The sequence below is a fragment of the Homo sapiens genome, chromosome 5 (genome assembly GCF_000001405.40).
Source record: "Homo sapiens chromosome 5, GRCh38.p14 Primary Assembly".
In the NCBI taxonomy this organism is placed as follows: domain Eukaryota; kingdom Metazoa; phylum Chordata; class Mammalia; order Primates; family Hominidae; genus Homo; species Homo sapiens.
In genome coordinates this window covers 42,060,175-42,073,372 of record NC_000005.10, presented here as the reverse complement: position 1 = coordinate 42,073,372, position 13,198 = coordinate 42,060,175, and positions in this window count along the sequence as shown.

Sequence of the window (13,198 nt, the reverse complement as noted above, 5' to 3'; positions counted from 1 at the left end):
ATTGGGGGTGGTGTCCCTAGTCTTCCTGGATTGACTGTCCTGGCATGGAACCCCTACCCCATGAGTAAATTGGGATAATTGGGACCCCAGTATTTTTGGCCTGTCATGCCTGGGGTAGAGCTTTCACCCTATAAATAGGGGCTGCGTTGGAGGGAGGTGGGATCTTTTTCATCATGCTGACTTGATATAGGGTTTCTGCAACACAGAGCTGCAGGGGTGAAAAACATTTGGAAGACTCCTCCTCCTAGGGTGAAACCATAATCCAAGACTAGGATCTGGGAGAGAAGAGCCCCCATCTTCTTGGCCACAGCTGGAGTACCTCATTGAAGTAGAGCTAACAAAGAGCTGGGGGAAGGTTATAAAGGAGTGGGTCATGGCTCAAGTTCCATAAAATCTTGCTATTCTTACCAAGGGTTAATAAGTTTTCTTGAATGAATATTTTTCCATTTGCTATATGTCCTTCGAATGACTTTCAGAGACTTTAAATAATCATATTTTGTAATTTTCACCAGTTAAATTGTTTTGCTGATTAGAGGGTCAGCCAACCGCCTTATTTTACCATTTCAGAAGCTCCATTCTGTGTAATTCACTTTTGTGCCTTAACTTAATTCACTTTTCTTTCTTTAACTGCTGAAGAGATAATTCATTATAAATTTGTTCCCAAATTATTATAGTGCAATGTGAAAAATGTTTTGTTTCTTACATATCTATGGGAGTTATAGACAACTATCAATTCTAATAAAATTCAGAGAAAAAATGGCTGTGGCTTTCTAGTTCAGAAAATTTGTTCAGAAAGGTTCTTATATGGGTTAATGCTTTGAAGTTGGAGGTCTTATGTTATTTATGGTCACTTTTTTCACAGCCATTCTCCTGTCAGTCATCTTTGAACAAGTGTTTTTGTAGAAGAAAGTGGATGGTCTCAAAGCAAACATAAGTTGTCACTTATCACCCTTAAATTTATTCATCTGTTTGTTTGGGGGTTTTGTTTTTTATTTTTTAAGGATTCTTTTCAAAATCTCTACCTCATAACTTACCCTTCCTACTTCATAGAGAAAACGGATCACATAAGAAAGGAATTCAGTGTATCTTTCGATACCAAACTTTCAGTTACCAGAATAGTCATCTGTCCTTTCTGCTCTCCATTGTTCCTTGCCTTACCTCTTCTTGTGTATGTACAATCTCCCCACTTGTAATGTGGATTTCAGTTCACTCCCAGGGATAGCTATCAATTAATTACCTCTCTCAATTATCTGCAACACTTCCCTGCCCCCCGTATTCTGGCTGTTTCCCATCAGTGTTTACATATGCTCAGAGCAGTAATTGTTAACATTTGGTTATACACCCAAATCACCACATGTTCAGCCATATCCAGGACAGTTTAAATAGAATATCTGAGATTGTTTAAAAAGCTCCTCAAGTGATTATAATATACATCTAGGGTCTAGAATAATTACTGAAGAATTACTCTTTACACACACACACACCCCCACACCACTATTATCAACAAAAGTGACAACAATAGCAAACAAACAAAAATTAGCCCAGATCTCTCTTAAACTACTGATGTATTCCTCTTTTGCCTTTCATAACCAAGGTGAATGCTATTGGCACCCTTGCCTGACCAATGTGCTCTTCCTCTAGATCTTGTGAGTTTTGTCTTATGCTAATTCATAGCATCCACCTACACAGGATAATTGCCCTTTTGCAAACAGGAACCATGTCATTTTCTTACTTCTTGAACATTTCTTATTCTACTGGAATCTTGATGCTACTGACTGACACTCTCAGTGTCATTTAGCACTTAGAGGAATGAATACATTCCAAAGTCACCAATTACCTCCTTGTTTTAATTTCCAGTATTTACCTTATTTTACCAGTGTGCACCATGTGACTCTCAACCTCTCCTCTGTTCTTTATTTGGATTCCCTGAAATCACACTCTTCTGGTTTTCCTCCTACTTATAACTATTTTCAATATTCTTTGAAAATACATGTTTGTTTCTTGACCATGCTTTACCTTTTGGTGTTCCACAGAGTTTTGTGATAATCACTAACTCCCTGGGCAAGCTCATCCATATTTATATCCAGGCATCAGTTACCAACTAAATGCTAGACTCATGAATTTATCTCTTTAATCCAGACTCCTTTCCTGAGTTCCAGACTCATATACATAACTTTATCTTGAACATCACCACATGGATGCCCTAGAGTTAACTCAAACTCAATCTGTTCACAGTTGGTATAACATCTTGCTTCTAAGCCTATTCTTCTCTTGTGTAATTCCCAACTCTCCCTTCTCATGTCAATAATTGTTATTGATGTAATTTCCCTAATAACTCTCCATTCAATCCACTTCTGTCTAGTTTTACATCTACTACCTTAGTTCAGGCTACCGACATTTCTAGCAGAAATGATTGCTATAGACTCTGAAAGGTTTATTCCGTCTCTGGTCTTGAAGTCATCTCTATCCCTGATTTATTTTCTCCACTAAGTAAGGGTAATCTTTCCAAAGTGAAAACCCAATTATATCACACTCCTCTTAAAAACTTTCATGATACCTAATGCCTTTAGAATAAGACCCACAGAAAGCATTCAAGAGCCTTTATGATCTTGCCTCAGGTAACCTATAAAAAATCATTGGACTCAATTTGCACTATAGACCAAAGGTGCCTAACAGACATTTACAAAATGTTTCATCCAACAGCTGCAGAATACACATTACTCTCCTCAGCACAGGAATCATTCTCAGGGATAGACCAAACGTTGAGCCACAATAAAAGGCTTAAAAATTTCAAGAAAATTGAAATCATATTAAGTATCCTTTCTGACCACATTGGAATAAAACTAGAAGCCAATAACACTTTTCAAATCAATTTAAACATTTCTTGAAATAAATGAAAACAAAAATGGAAATATAACATACCAAAACTTATGAGATATGGCAAAAGCCATGCTAAGAGGAACGTGTATAGCAATCAGCACCTACATCAAAAAAGTAGGAAAATGTAAAATAAACAACCTAATGATGTATCTGAAAGAATCAGAAAAACGAGAGCAAAGCAGACCCAAAATTAGTAGAAGAAAAGAAATAATAAAGATGAGAACAGAAATAAGTGGAACTGAAACAAAAAAATACAAAAAGTCAACAAAACAAAAATTTGCCTTCTTGGAGAGAAACAAAACCCACAATTATTTCATCAGACTAATGGGCTAAAAATAAGAGAAGATCCAAATAAACAAAACGATAAATCAAAAGGGAGACATTACAATTGATACCATCAAAATTCAAAGAGTCAGTAGACACTACTAAGAGCAATGATATGTCAATAAATTGGAAAACCTAGAAGAAATAAATAAACCCCTAGACACATCCAACTTACCAAGATCGAACTATGAAGAAATCCAAAACATGAATAGAGCAATAACAAGTAATAAGATTAAAGAAGTAATAAAAAAAAATTCTTCCAGCAAAGGAAAGCCCAGGACCCAATGGCTTCACTGATGAATTTTATCAAGCATTTAAAGAAGAACTAATAATACTCAAACATTTCCAAAAATAGAGGATCAGAGAATACTTCCAAACACAATTTATAAGGCTGGAATTACCCTGATACCAAAACTAGACAGAGACACATTCAGAAAAGAAAACTACAGACCAATATCCCTGCTAAACATTGATGCAAAAATCCTCAACAAAATACTGGCAAACTGAATTCAACAATCCATTAAAAAGATCATCCATCATGATCAAGTGAGATCTATCCTAGGGATGCAAGGATGATTTAACATATGCAAACCAACATGACACATCATATTAACAGAAGGAAGGACAAAAACTATATAATTATTTTGATTGCTGCTGAAAATTATTGGGTGTATTTCTGGGTTTGATAAAATTTAACATTCCTTCATGAGAAAATACTCAAAAAACGGAGTATAGAAGAAGCATACCTAAATACAATAACCATATACAACACAGCTAGTATCATACTGGGGGAAAACTGAAAGCCTTTCATCTAAAATCTGGAAGAAGACAAGGATGCCCACTTTCACTATTGTTATTCAACATAGTACTGGAAGTCCTAACAAGAGCAATCAGACAAAAGAAAGAAAGAAAGAAAAAAGAAAGAAGAAAGAAAGAAAGAAAGAAAGAAAGAAAGAAAGAAAGAAAGAAAGAAAGAAAAGAAAGAAAGCAAGCATAAAAATTGGAAAGGAAGAAGTCAAATTGTCCCTGTGTGGAAAAGGTATGATCTTATGTTTGGGAAAACCTAAAGACTCCTCCAAAACTTACTAAAATTGTTAAACAAATTCAGTAAATTTGCAGAACACAAAATCAACATACAAAAATCAGTAGGATTTCTATATGCCAACAATCACAATCTGAAAAAAGAAATCAAGAAAGTAGTCCCATTTACAACAGCAACAAATAAAATACCTAGAAATAAACTTAACAAAAGAAGTGAAAGACCTTTATAATGAAAACTGTTAAACATTGATGCAAGAAATTGAAGAGGACACAAAAAGTTGATAGATATTTTATATCCATGGATTGGAAGAATTAATATCATTAAATATCCATACTACCCAAAGAAATCTACAGATTCAGTGCAATTCTCATCAAAATACCAATGACATTCTTTATAGAAATAGAAATAGAAAAAAAATCTCTTAAAATTGATATGGACCCAGAAAAGACCCAGAATAGCCAAAGCCATCCTAATCAAAAAGAGCAAAACTGGAGGAATCACATTACCAGACTTCAAATTATACTGCAGAGCTATTATAACCCAAATAACAAAACAGCATGATGCTGTCATAAAAGCAGACACATAGACCAATGAAACAGAATAGAGAACCCAGAAATACATCCATACATCTACAGCAAACTCATTTTTGACAAAGGTGCAAAGAACATACACTGGGGAAAGGACAGTCTCTTCACTAAATGATGCTGAGGAAAATGGATATCCATAAGCAGAAGATTGAAACTATATCCCTATCTCTCTCTCACCATAGACAAAAATCAAATTAAAATGGATTAAATACTTAAGTCTGAGACCTGAAACTATGAAACTTCTAAAATAAAATATTGAGGAAGCTCTCCAGGAAACATGTCTGGGCAAATATTTCTTCAGTAATACCCCAAGACCACAGGCAACCAAAGCAAAAATGGACAAATGGGATCACATCAAGTTAGAAAGTCTCTGCACAGCAAAACAAGCAGTGAGCAAAGTGGAGAGACAACCCACAAAATGGGAGAAAATATTTGCAAGTCATCTAATAATGATATAAAAGGAGCTCAAAAACTCTATAGGAAAAAAATCTAATAATCTGATTAAAAATGGACAAAAGATCTGAATGGGCATTTCTGAAAAAAAAAGACATACAAATGGCAAACAGGTATATTAAAAGGTTCTCAACATCCTTGATCATCAGACACATGCAAGTCTAAACTACAATGAGATATCATCTCACACCTGTTAAAATAGCTTTTAGCCACAAGATAGGTAATACCAAATGCTGGTCATGATGTGGAGAAAAGGCAACCGTGTACACTGTTGCTGGGGATGTAAATTAGTACAGTCATAATAGAGTACAGTATGGAGTTTCCTTAAAAAAACTAAAAATTGAACTATCTTATGATCCAGTCCACTGCCAGCTGCACACCTCTAAGAAAGGAAATCAGTATATTGAAAAGATATCTGTACTCCCTTGTTTATTGTAGCACTATTCACAATAGCCAAAATTTGGAAGCAACGTTAAGTGTCCATCGACAGACAAACGGATAAAGAAAATGTATATATACCCAGTGGAGTACTATTTAGCCATAAAAAAGAATGAGATTTAATCATTTGCAACAACACGAATGGAATTGGAGGACATCATGTTGAGTGAAATAAGCCAGGCACATAAAGATAAATTTTACATGTTCTCATTTATTTGTGTGAGCTAAAAATTATAGCAATTGATTTCATGGAGATAGAGAGTAGAATGATGGTTACCAGAGTCTGAGAAGGGTAGTGAGTGGGGGATAGGGAAAAGTGAGATAGTTAATGGGTACAAAAATGTAATTAAATAGAAGGAATAACATTTAATATTTGATACTGTAACAGGGTGATTACAGTTAATAATAATTTTTTACATGTTAAAAAATCTAAAAGAATATAATTTATATGCTTCCAGCATAAAGAAATAAGTTTGTGATGTGATGGATATCACATTTATCCTGAGGTAATTATCATGTATTATATGCCTGTGTCAAAATATCTCATATATCCTATAAGTATATACACCAACTGTATACCCATAAACATTAAAAAAAAATTTTAATCTAATTATGCTAACCTTTATTCTCAGCATAAAGAATAAATTCTTTGCTATGAGCTACTGGGCCTTATTAATCAACTCTATTCCAAGCCAGCCTCTCAAGACGTATTCAATAATATACTCCTTAAGTAAGCATTCAAGACTAATTTTCTAGTTCCAATGGGTTTTTCCCCTAAAATCAGTATAAATTTAATGAGTCATAAGAAAAAACAAGGCTCAATGGCACTTATGGATCTTTCTAGATTAAGTGATTTTATGTCCCATTTTTCCAGGATAGTATTTGTTTACATCCATTTTATCATGACTTAAAAGAGGATAGTTTGTTTCGAATGTACCTTTTAAGTTCTTATTCCAACTTTGAAAACGGATTTTTTTATGAATTAAAAGAAATATTAAAATATAGATTATAAATATATTACTTGGTTCAAAAGTGGCTACAGAAAGAAACTACATAGGAAATATAGAGCTTGACATTATGAAAAAACAAAAGTGAGATAGAGATCTAAATTTTTTACCAAAGATTCGGAATATCTCAATTGTTTATATCAAAGAATGGGGGAAAATGTAGCTAATGAGAATGAAAGCTAGGATATTAAGCCCTGCCTCCTATTCGTTATGTTGCTACTGAAAATATATCCACCAAAAAAATCATATGATGATAAGAAGACAAAAGATGTTCTATAGCATTTGACACCTAATTAAAGTGCTTAGAAAGCTAAGAATATCAATTTAAATGCAGCAGCTGCATCATGCCTACTAGTAGAATACTGGAGCCAGTCCTATTAATATCGCTTATAAAAGAAGGAGCTTGCAGCCATCATTACTGTTTAACTTAGTATTACATGCTCAGAACTCAAAATAGTCAACTACAAAACTGTTGAAATTTATTTAAAAGTTTAGTGAAGTGTCTACTATCAAGATAAAAGTTTAAAAGTTGATCATTTCCTTCTTTCCCAATAATAACTAGTTATAATAAATGACAGGCAGGATAATATTTCCTTCACAATAGTAACAAAAATACAAATAATATAGGAATACATCTATCAAGACATATGTAGGACTTTATTAAAGAAAAGCTTTCTAACGGTTGTAAATTGTTTTAATACGTGGCAGGTATACTTCCTCATAGGAAGACTAAATATTATAATATATCAGACCTTCTCTAAATAAATTTCTAGCCTTTCCATAGTCCTATCAAGGCCTATAGGCCTTTACAAAATGATTCTAAAGATATTTGGAATAAAAATTCATAAGAATAGCTAAGCATAGTTTCAAGAAGAAGAGAAATATGTGAAGAGTTTCCTCAGTAAAAGCCAAAATATAAAATTATAGTGTTCTTTATCACTGTAGGATGACTACAGTTAATAATAAATTATATTGTTTCAAATAGCTATAAAGAGGATAGCAAATGTCCCCAGCACACAAAAAATGATAAATGTTTGAGATGATGGATATGCCAGCTACTCTGATCTGATCACTATATATTATATGTATTGCAACATCACTGTATACCCTATGAATATGCAAAATTATTATTTATCAATTTAAAATTAAATTGTTTTAAAAAATAAAATAATTGGAAGGTTATAACTTGGCACAAGAATTAATAGTCAAATAAATGGAGCAGAATATCCAATATCCAGCCCTGAAAACAGTCCAACAGTCATATGTATACACACACACACACACACACATACACACACACACACACACACACACACACACACACACAGAGTATTCCCCTTCCAAGACTCCCAGTAGATGCCTGAAACCATAGATTATCCAAACCCTATATGTACTATGTTTTTTCTTAAACATAGATACTTAGGATAAAGTTTAACTTAAATAAATTATCCACAGTAAGAGACTAACAACAATAACTAATAATAAAATAGGACAATATGGCAACATCAGTACTCTTGCATGTTGGCAGCATTAGTGAGTAAAATAAGGTTTATTTGAATACAAGCACTGTGATACCCTGACAACTGAGATGACTAAGTGACTAACCTGCAGGTGGTGTATACAGTATGGATACTGCTGGACAAATGAATGATTCAGGTCCTGAGTGGGATGGCACAATATTTTATCATGTTACTCAGACCAGCAAGCAGTTTAAATCTTATGAATAGTTTATTTCTGGAATTTCCCATTTAATATTTTTGGACCACAGTTGACCACAGGTAACTGAAATTGTGGAAAATGAAACAGTAGATAAGGAATGACTACTATATGTGTTGGTGTACATATACCTATGCACACAGAAGTTACTCTGGTTGGAAAGTGGAAAGTAGCAAAGTAACATATAGATTATTTAATATATAATGCTTAAAAATTGGCTACATGGTGAAAAATTATGCTAGATATTTACTCCACATGATAGATGAAAGTACATTCCAAATGGATTGAAGAGCTAAACAAAAATACCAAAATCATTAAAAAAAATTAGAAGACTGTATTGGTGACCTTTAACCTAATTTTTAAGATGATAGTAGTAATAATTATTGTATCCACAACTGTCATCTATTGAATGATTACCATGTGCCAAAGTATTATGCAAAGCAATTTACAGATATTATAATACCAAATTACATGTGGCAGCAGCAATTAGCATCTATAGGAAGGCCATGTGGGAAGGCCACAGAACCAACTAGATGTTAGTTGCAGTTTGAAATGAGAGCTGTATACCTCTAAATCGAGCCTCATCACCACTTAAGGCTTGTTTGTGTGTTTGTTTTTAACAAGATTAATAGAATTATTAGATGCAAAATGCCTACAGCACTGTCTGGTCCTGTATGAACATAAGCAATTATTCATTTAGCTATAGTAGCTAAGAATGCAAACTATTCACCATGTACTTGACAGTTTGTTCACTTCGCTTTTTCTTGAAAACACTGTACCTTAGTTTATCCCTCTATAAATAGGTATAATAATAGTACTTCTATCATATAATTATTGGAGTATTAAAAAGTTAATATATATATAGAGAGAGTGCTTAATCTGTGTCTGGCATGAAGTAAGTGCTCTGTCAATATGTGGTACTACTAACTGTTGGGCTTTGCTATCTTCCCTCATCAAAACAGTAGAAAAAGAAGGACCATAAATGGCCAACAAAGGGGTAATCATGGATTTAAAAGACTATAACCCAATATTGGAATACTGTTCTACCATTAAGAAGCATGGTTATAAAGATTATGTAGACATAAGACAATTCTCATGATAGAATGTTAAATGAAAAGCAGGATTCAAAAATCTCGGGAATATTTTCAATATCGTTATATGTACATTATTTGTATGGTTGTACATACAAACACATAGACATATATATGTATAGAAAACAAATAATTAAAGAAATATACTTCATGTAAGTGGAATCAAGTAGCATTTGTCTTCTGAAACTGACAATTTACTTAGCATAACGTCTTCCAGGTTCATCCTTGTGGTCACATATTGCAGGATTTCTTTCTTTTAAAGGCTAGATAACATTGCATTGTGTCTGTGTGTGTGAATATATATATATATATATTTTTAAATCTATTTATTGGATGGACATTTTTGTTGCTTTTACATTTTGGCTATTGTAAAGGGTGCCTCAATAAACATGTAAGTGCTAATATCTCTTTCAGATCATGATTTCATTTCTTTCAGATAAATACCCAGAAATGGTATCAGTGGATTATATGGTAGTCCTATTATTCGTTTTCTGATAAACTTCCATACTATTTCCCGTAGTGATTGCACCATAACTGTTGCCCATGAACAGTGTGCAAGGGTTCGAGTTTTTCCACAACCTCAACACTTGTTATCTTTTGACTTTTTGATAATAGCCTCCCTAATAGGTTTGAGATGATACCTCATTGTGGTTTTCATTTGCATTTCCCTGCTGATTAGTCACATTGGACATCTTTTTATATACCTATTGGCCATTTATGTTTTTTGTTGGAGAAATGTCTGTTCGAGTCCTCTGCCCTTTTTTAACCACTTATTTTGAAGAGAGAGCCTGTAAGTTGCCTTTTTATTCTGTTGATTGTTTCCCTTACTGTGCAGAAGCATTTTAGTATAACACAATCACATTTGTCTATTTTTGTTTTTGTTGCCTGTGCTTTTGGTGTCATATTCATGAAATCATTGCCAAAACCGTCAGGAAGCTTTTCCTATTTTCTTCTAAGAGTTTTAGTTTCAAGTCATGACATTTAAGTCTTTAATCCATTTTGGGTTTACTTTTGTGTGTGATGTGTATATAGCATACAGTATAAGAGCCCAATTTTATTATTTTGCACGTGTATATACAATTTTCCCAGCACAATTTCTTGAAAAGGCCATCTTCTCCCTGTTGTATATTCTTGGCACCCTTGTCAAAGACCAGTTGACCATAGGGGTGTGGATTTTATTCTGTTCCATTTGTCTATATGTGTCTCTTTATGCCAGCACCATACTGTTTTAATTACTGTAACTTTGCAAGATATATTGAAATCAGGAAGTATGATGCCTTCAGCTTTGTTCTTTTTCGAGATTGTTTTGGCTAATTGGGGTCTTGTGTGCTTTCATATGAAGTTTAAGATTTTTTTTATTTCTGTTTAAAAGTGCCATTGGTATTTTTTTTCTTTTTTTGAGATGGAGTCTCACTCTGTCACCCAGGCTGGAGTGCAATGGCGTGGTCTCAGCTCACTGCAACCTCCGCCTCCCAGGGTCAAGTGATTCTCCCGCCTCAGCCTCCTGAGTAGATGGTACTACAGGTGCATGCCACCATACCTGGCTAATTTTTGTTTTTTTAATACAGGTGGGGTTTCACTATGTTGGCCAGGCTGGTCTTGAACTCCTGACCTCATGATCCACCTGCCTTGGCCTCCTGAAATGCTAGGATTACAGGCGTGAGCCACTGCACCCAGCCTGCCATTGGTATTTTTATAGGGATTGCATAGAATCTTAGACAACTTGGGGTATTATGGAGATTTTGACAATAATGTTTTACAGTCCAGTACCACAGGGTGCCATTTTGTTTGTGTCTTCTCTAATCTCTCTTACCAATGTTTTAAATAATATCCTTTGAAAATTTGTTATGCCTTCAAGCACCTTTATAAATAGTCTCTAAAATTTCAAAAGTGAAAGTATTTACTTCCTAGTTTGCCACACCAAGACATTTGTATAACGTAAGTAGAAATTTTCTTTGTTATGATCAATATTTTGCCTGACATCAATATAAATAAAAAATTATATGAATGAAACTGTTGAGAGACAAAGAAGTAGCTTTTAAATGTGACAAATAGAGATTAATTTATTAAAATACTAAGGGCTTTTTGACAAGGAATTTCAATATTATTTATATTTTACTATGGTTATAAGTGACTTTTCTAGCTCACTTAAATAGTTATTTCCAGGGTCATTCACTTGAGAGGTATACATTTACAAAAGTCAAGGCACATTTCAAGTTGCCAAAATAAAATTGCTGATGCTGTTTAGCTTGATTCATGTCAAATCAGTGAATTATACCTTTTTTACTCCTCTGTTTTCAGTTTTACACCACCTCAGGAACAGATTCGCAAGCACTTTGCTGCCTCAACATGCCTTCTGTGGCTCAGTGACTTTGTTTTGCTCCAAATTACACAAGGCTTATTTCTGCCACAACTACCAGTGTTCAAATTTATTTGTCTTGCGTCTCCACATCTGAGATATCAACCAGAACATGTGGAAAAGCATGTCTGCATCATTATGGTATCAGTAAAGATGAAAGAATTAGTGGAAAGAATGTTGGACTTGGTTTCCGACAGCTGTGAAAGTGATCATGGGTTCTTCTATGGAAGCTTTCATTTTCTCATTATAAGATAAAAACAACAAAATGTGTTCTATCTTTCAGGGTTAGTTATGAGTATGCAATAATGAAGTATTTGTAAATGCATTTTGTAAGGCTAAGTATTTTTTACAAATATAAGATGTTATAACTTATTTATAATTTTTAAAGCTTTTATTTTAGGTTCGGGGTATATGTGCAGATTTATTACATGGGTACACTTGTGTCACGGGGGTTTGTTGTGCAGATTATTTAATCACCGCTGCTAAGCCTAGTACCTGATGGCTATTTTTCTGCTCCTCTCCTTCCTTCCACCCTCTACGCTCAAGTAGATCCCAGTGTCTGCTGTTCCCTTCTTTGTGTTCATGAGTTCTCATCATTTAGCTCCCACTTATAAGTGAGAACATGCAGTATTTGCTTTTCCATTCCTGCATTAGTTTGCTAAGGATAATGGCCTCCAACTCCACCTACGTTCCAACAAAAGATGTGAACTCATTCTTTTTTATGGGCTCAACAGCGAGCTCTCAGGAGCTTTACAGCCCCAGCAGCAGGGAAAATTGAAATGGAAGAGTTCCCTGATTCCCATTGCAGGATGTGCAACAGGGGTGTGACTCGCCTGCTTGGTCACCCCACAGCTCAAACCCCTAGGGGAAGCATGCAGATGGGCAGGTACAGAGGCCAGGGCGAATGCTTTTGGGCTGCAGCCCCATAGCAGAGTCTAGGGATGGGTGTCTGCAACTCCCACAGCTCAAGTGGGCATGTGTTACCAAGATCTTTCAGTTTTGCCATCTGCTGACGGCTTGTGTATTAATCAGCTCAATTGACCCTCTGCCTTATCGCGAGGGCAGAGGGCCAGTGTGACAGGCTTCTGTATCCCGATCTCTTGCCCAGTGTCCCAAAAGAATTGGAACACACAGGCTTGAAGGATGAGTGCAAGGTTTTGCTGAATGGTGGAGGTAGAGCTCTGCGAGATGGGTGGGAGCCAGAACGGGGGATGGAGTGGGAAGGTGGTCTCCCCCTGGAGTCGAATCGCCCAAAGGCCCCGACCACCCCTGGCCAAACTCCCCTCAATGTCCCAACATCC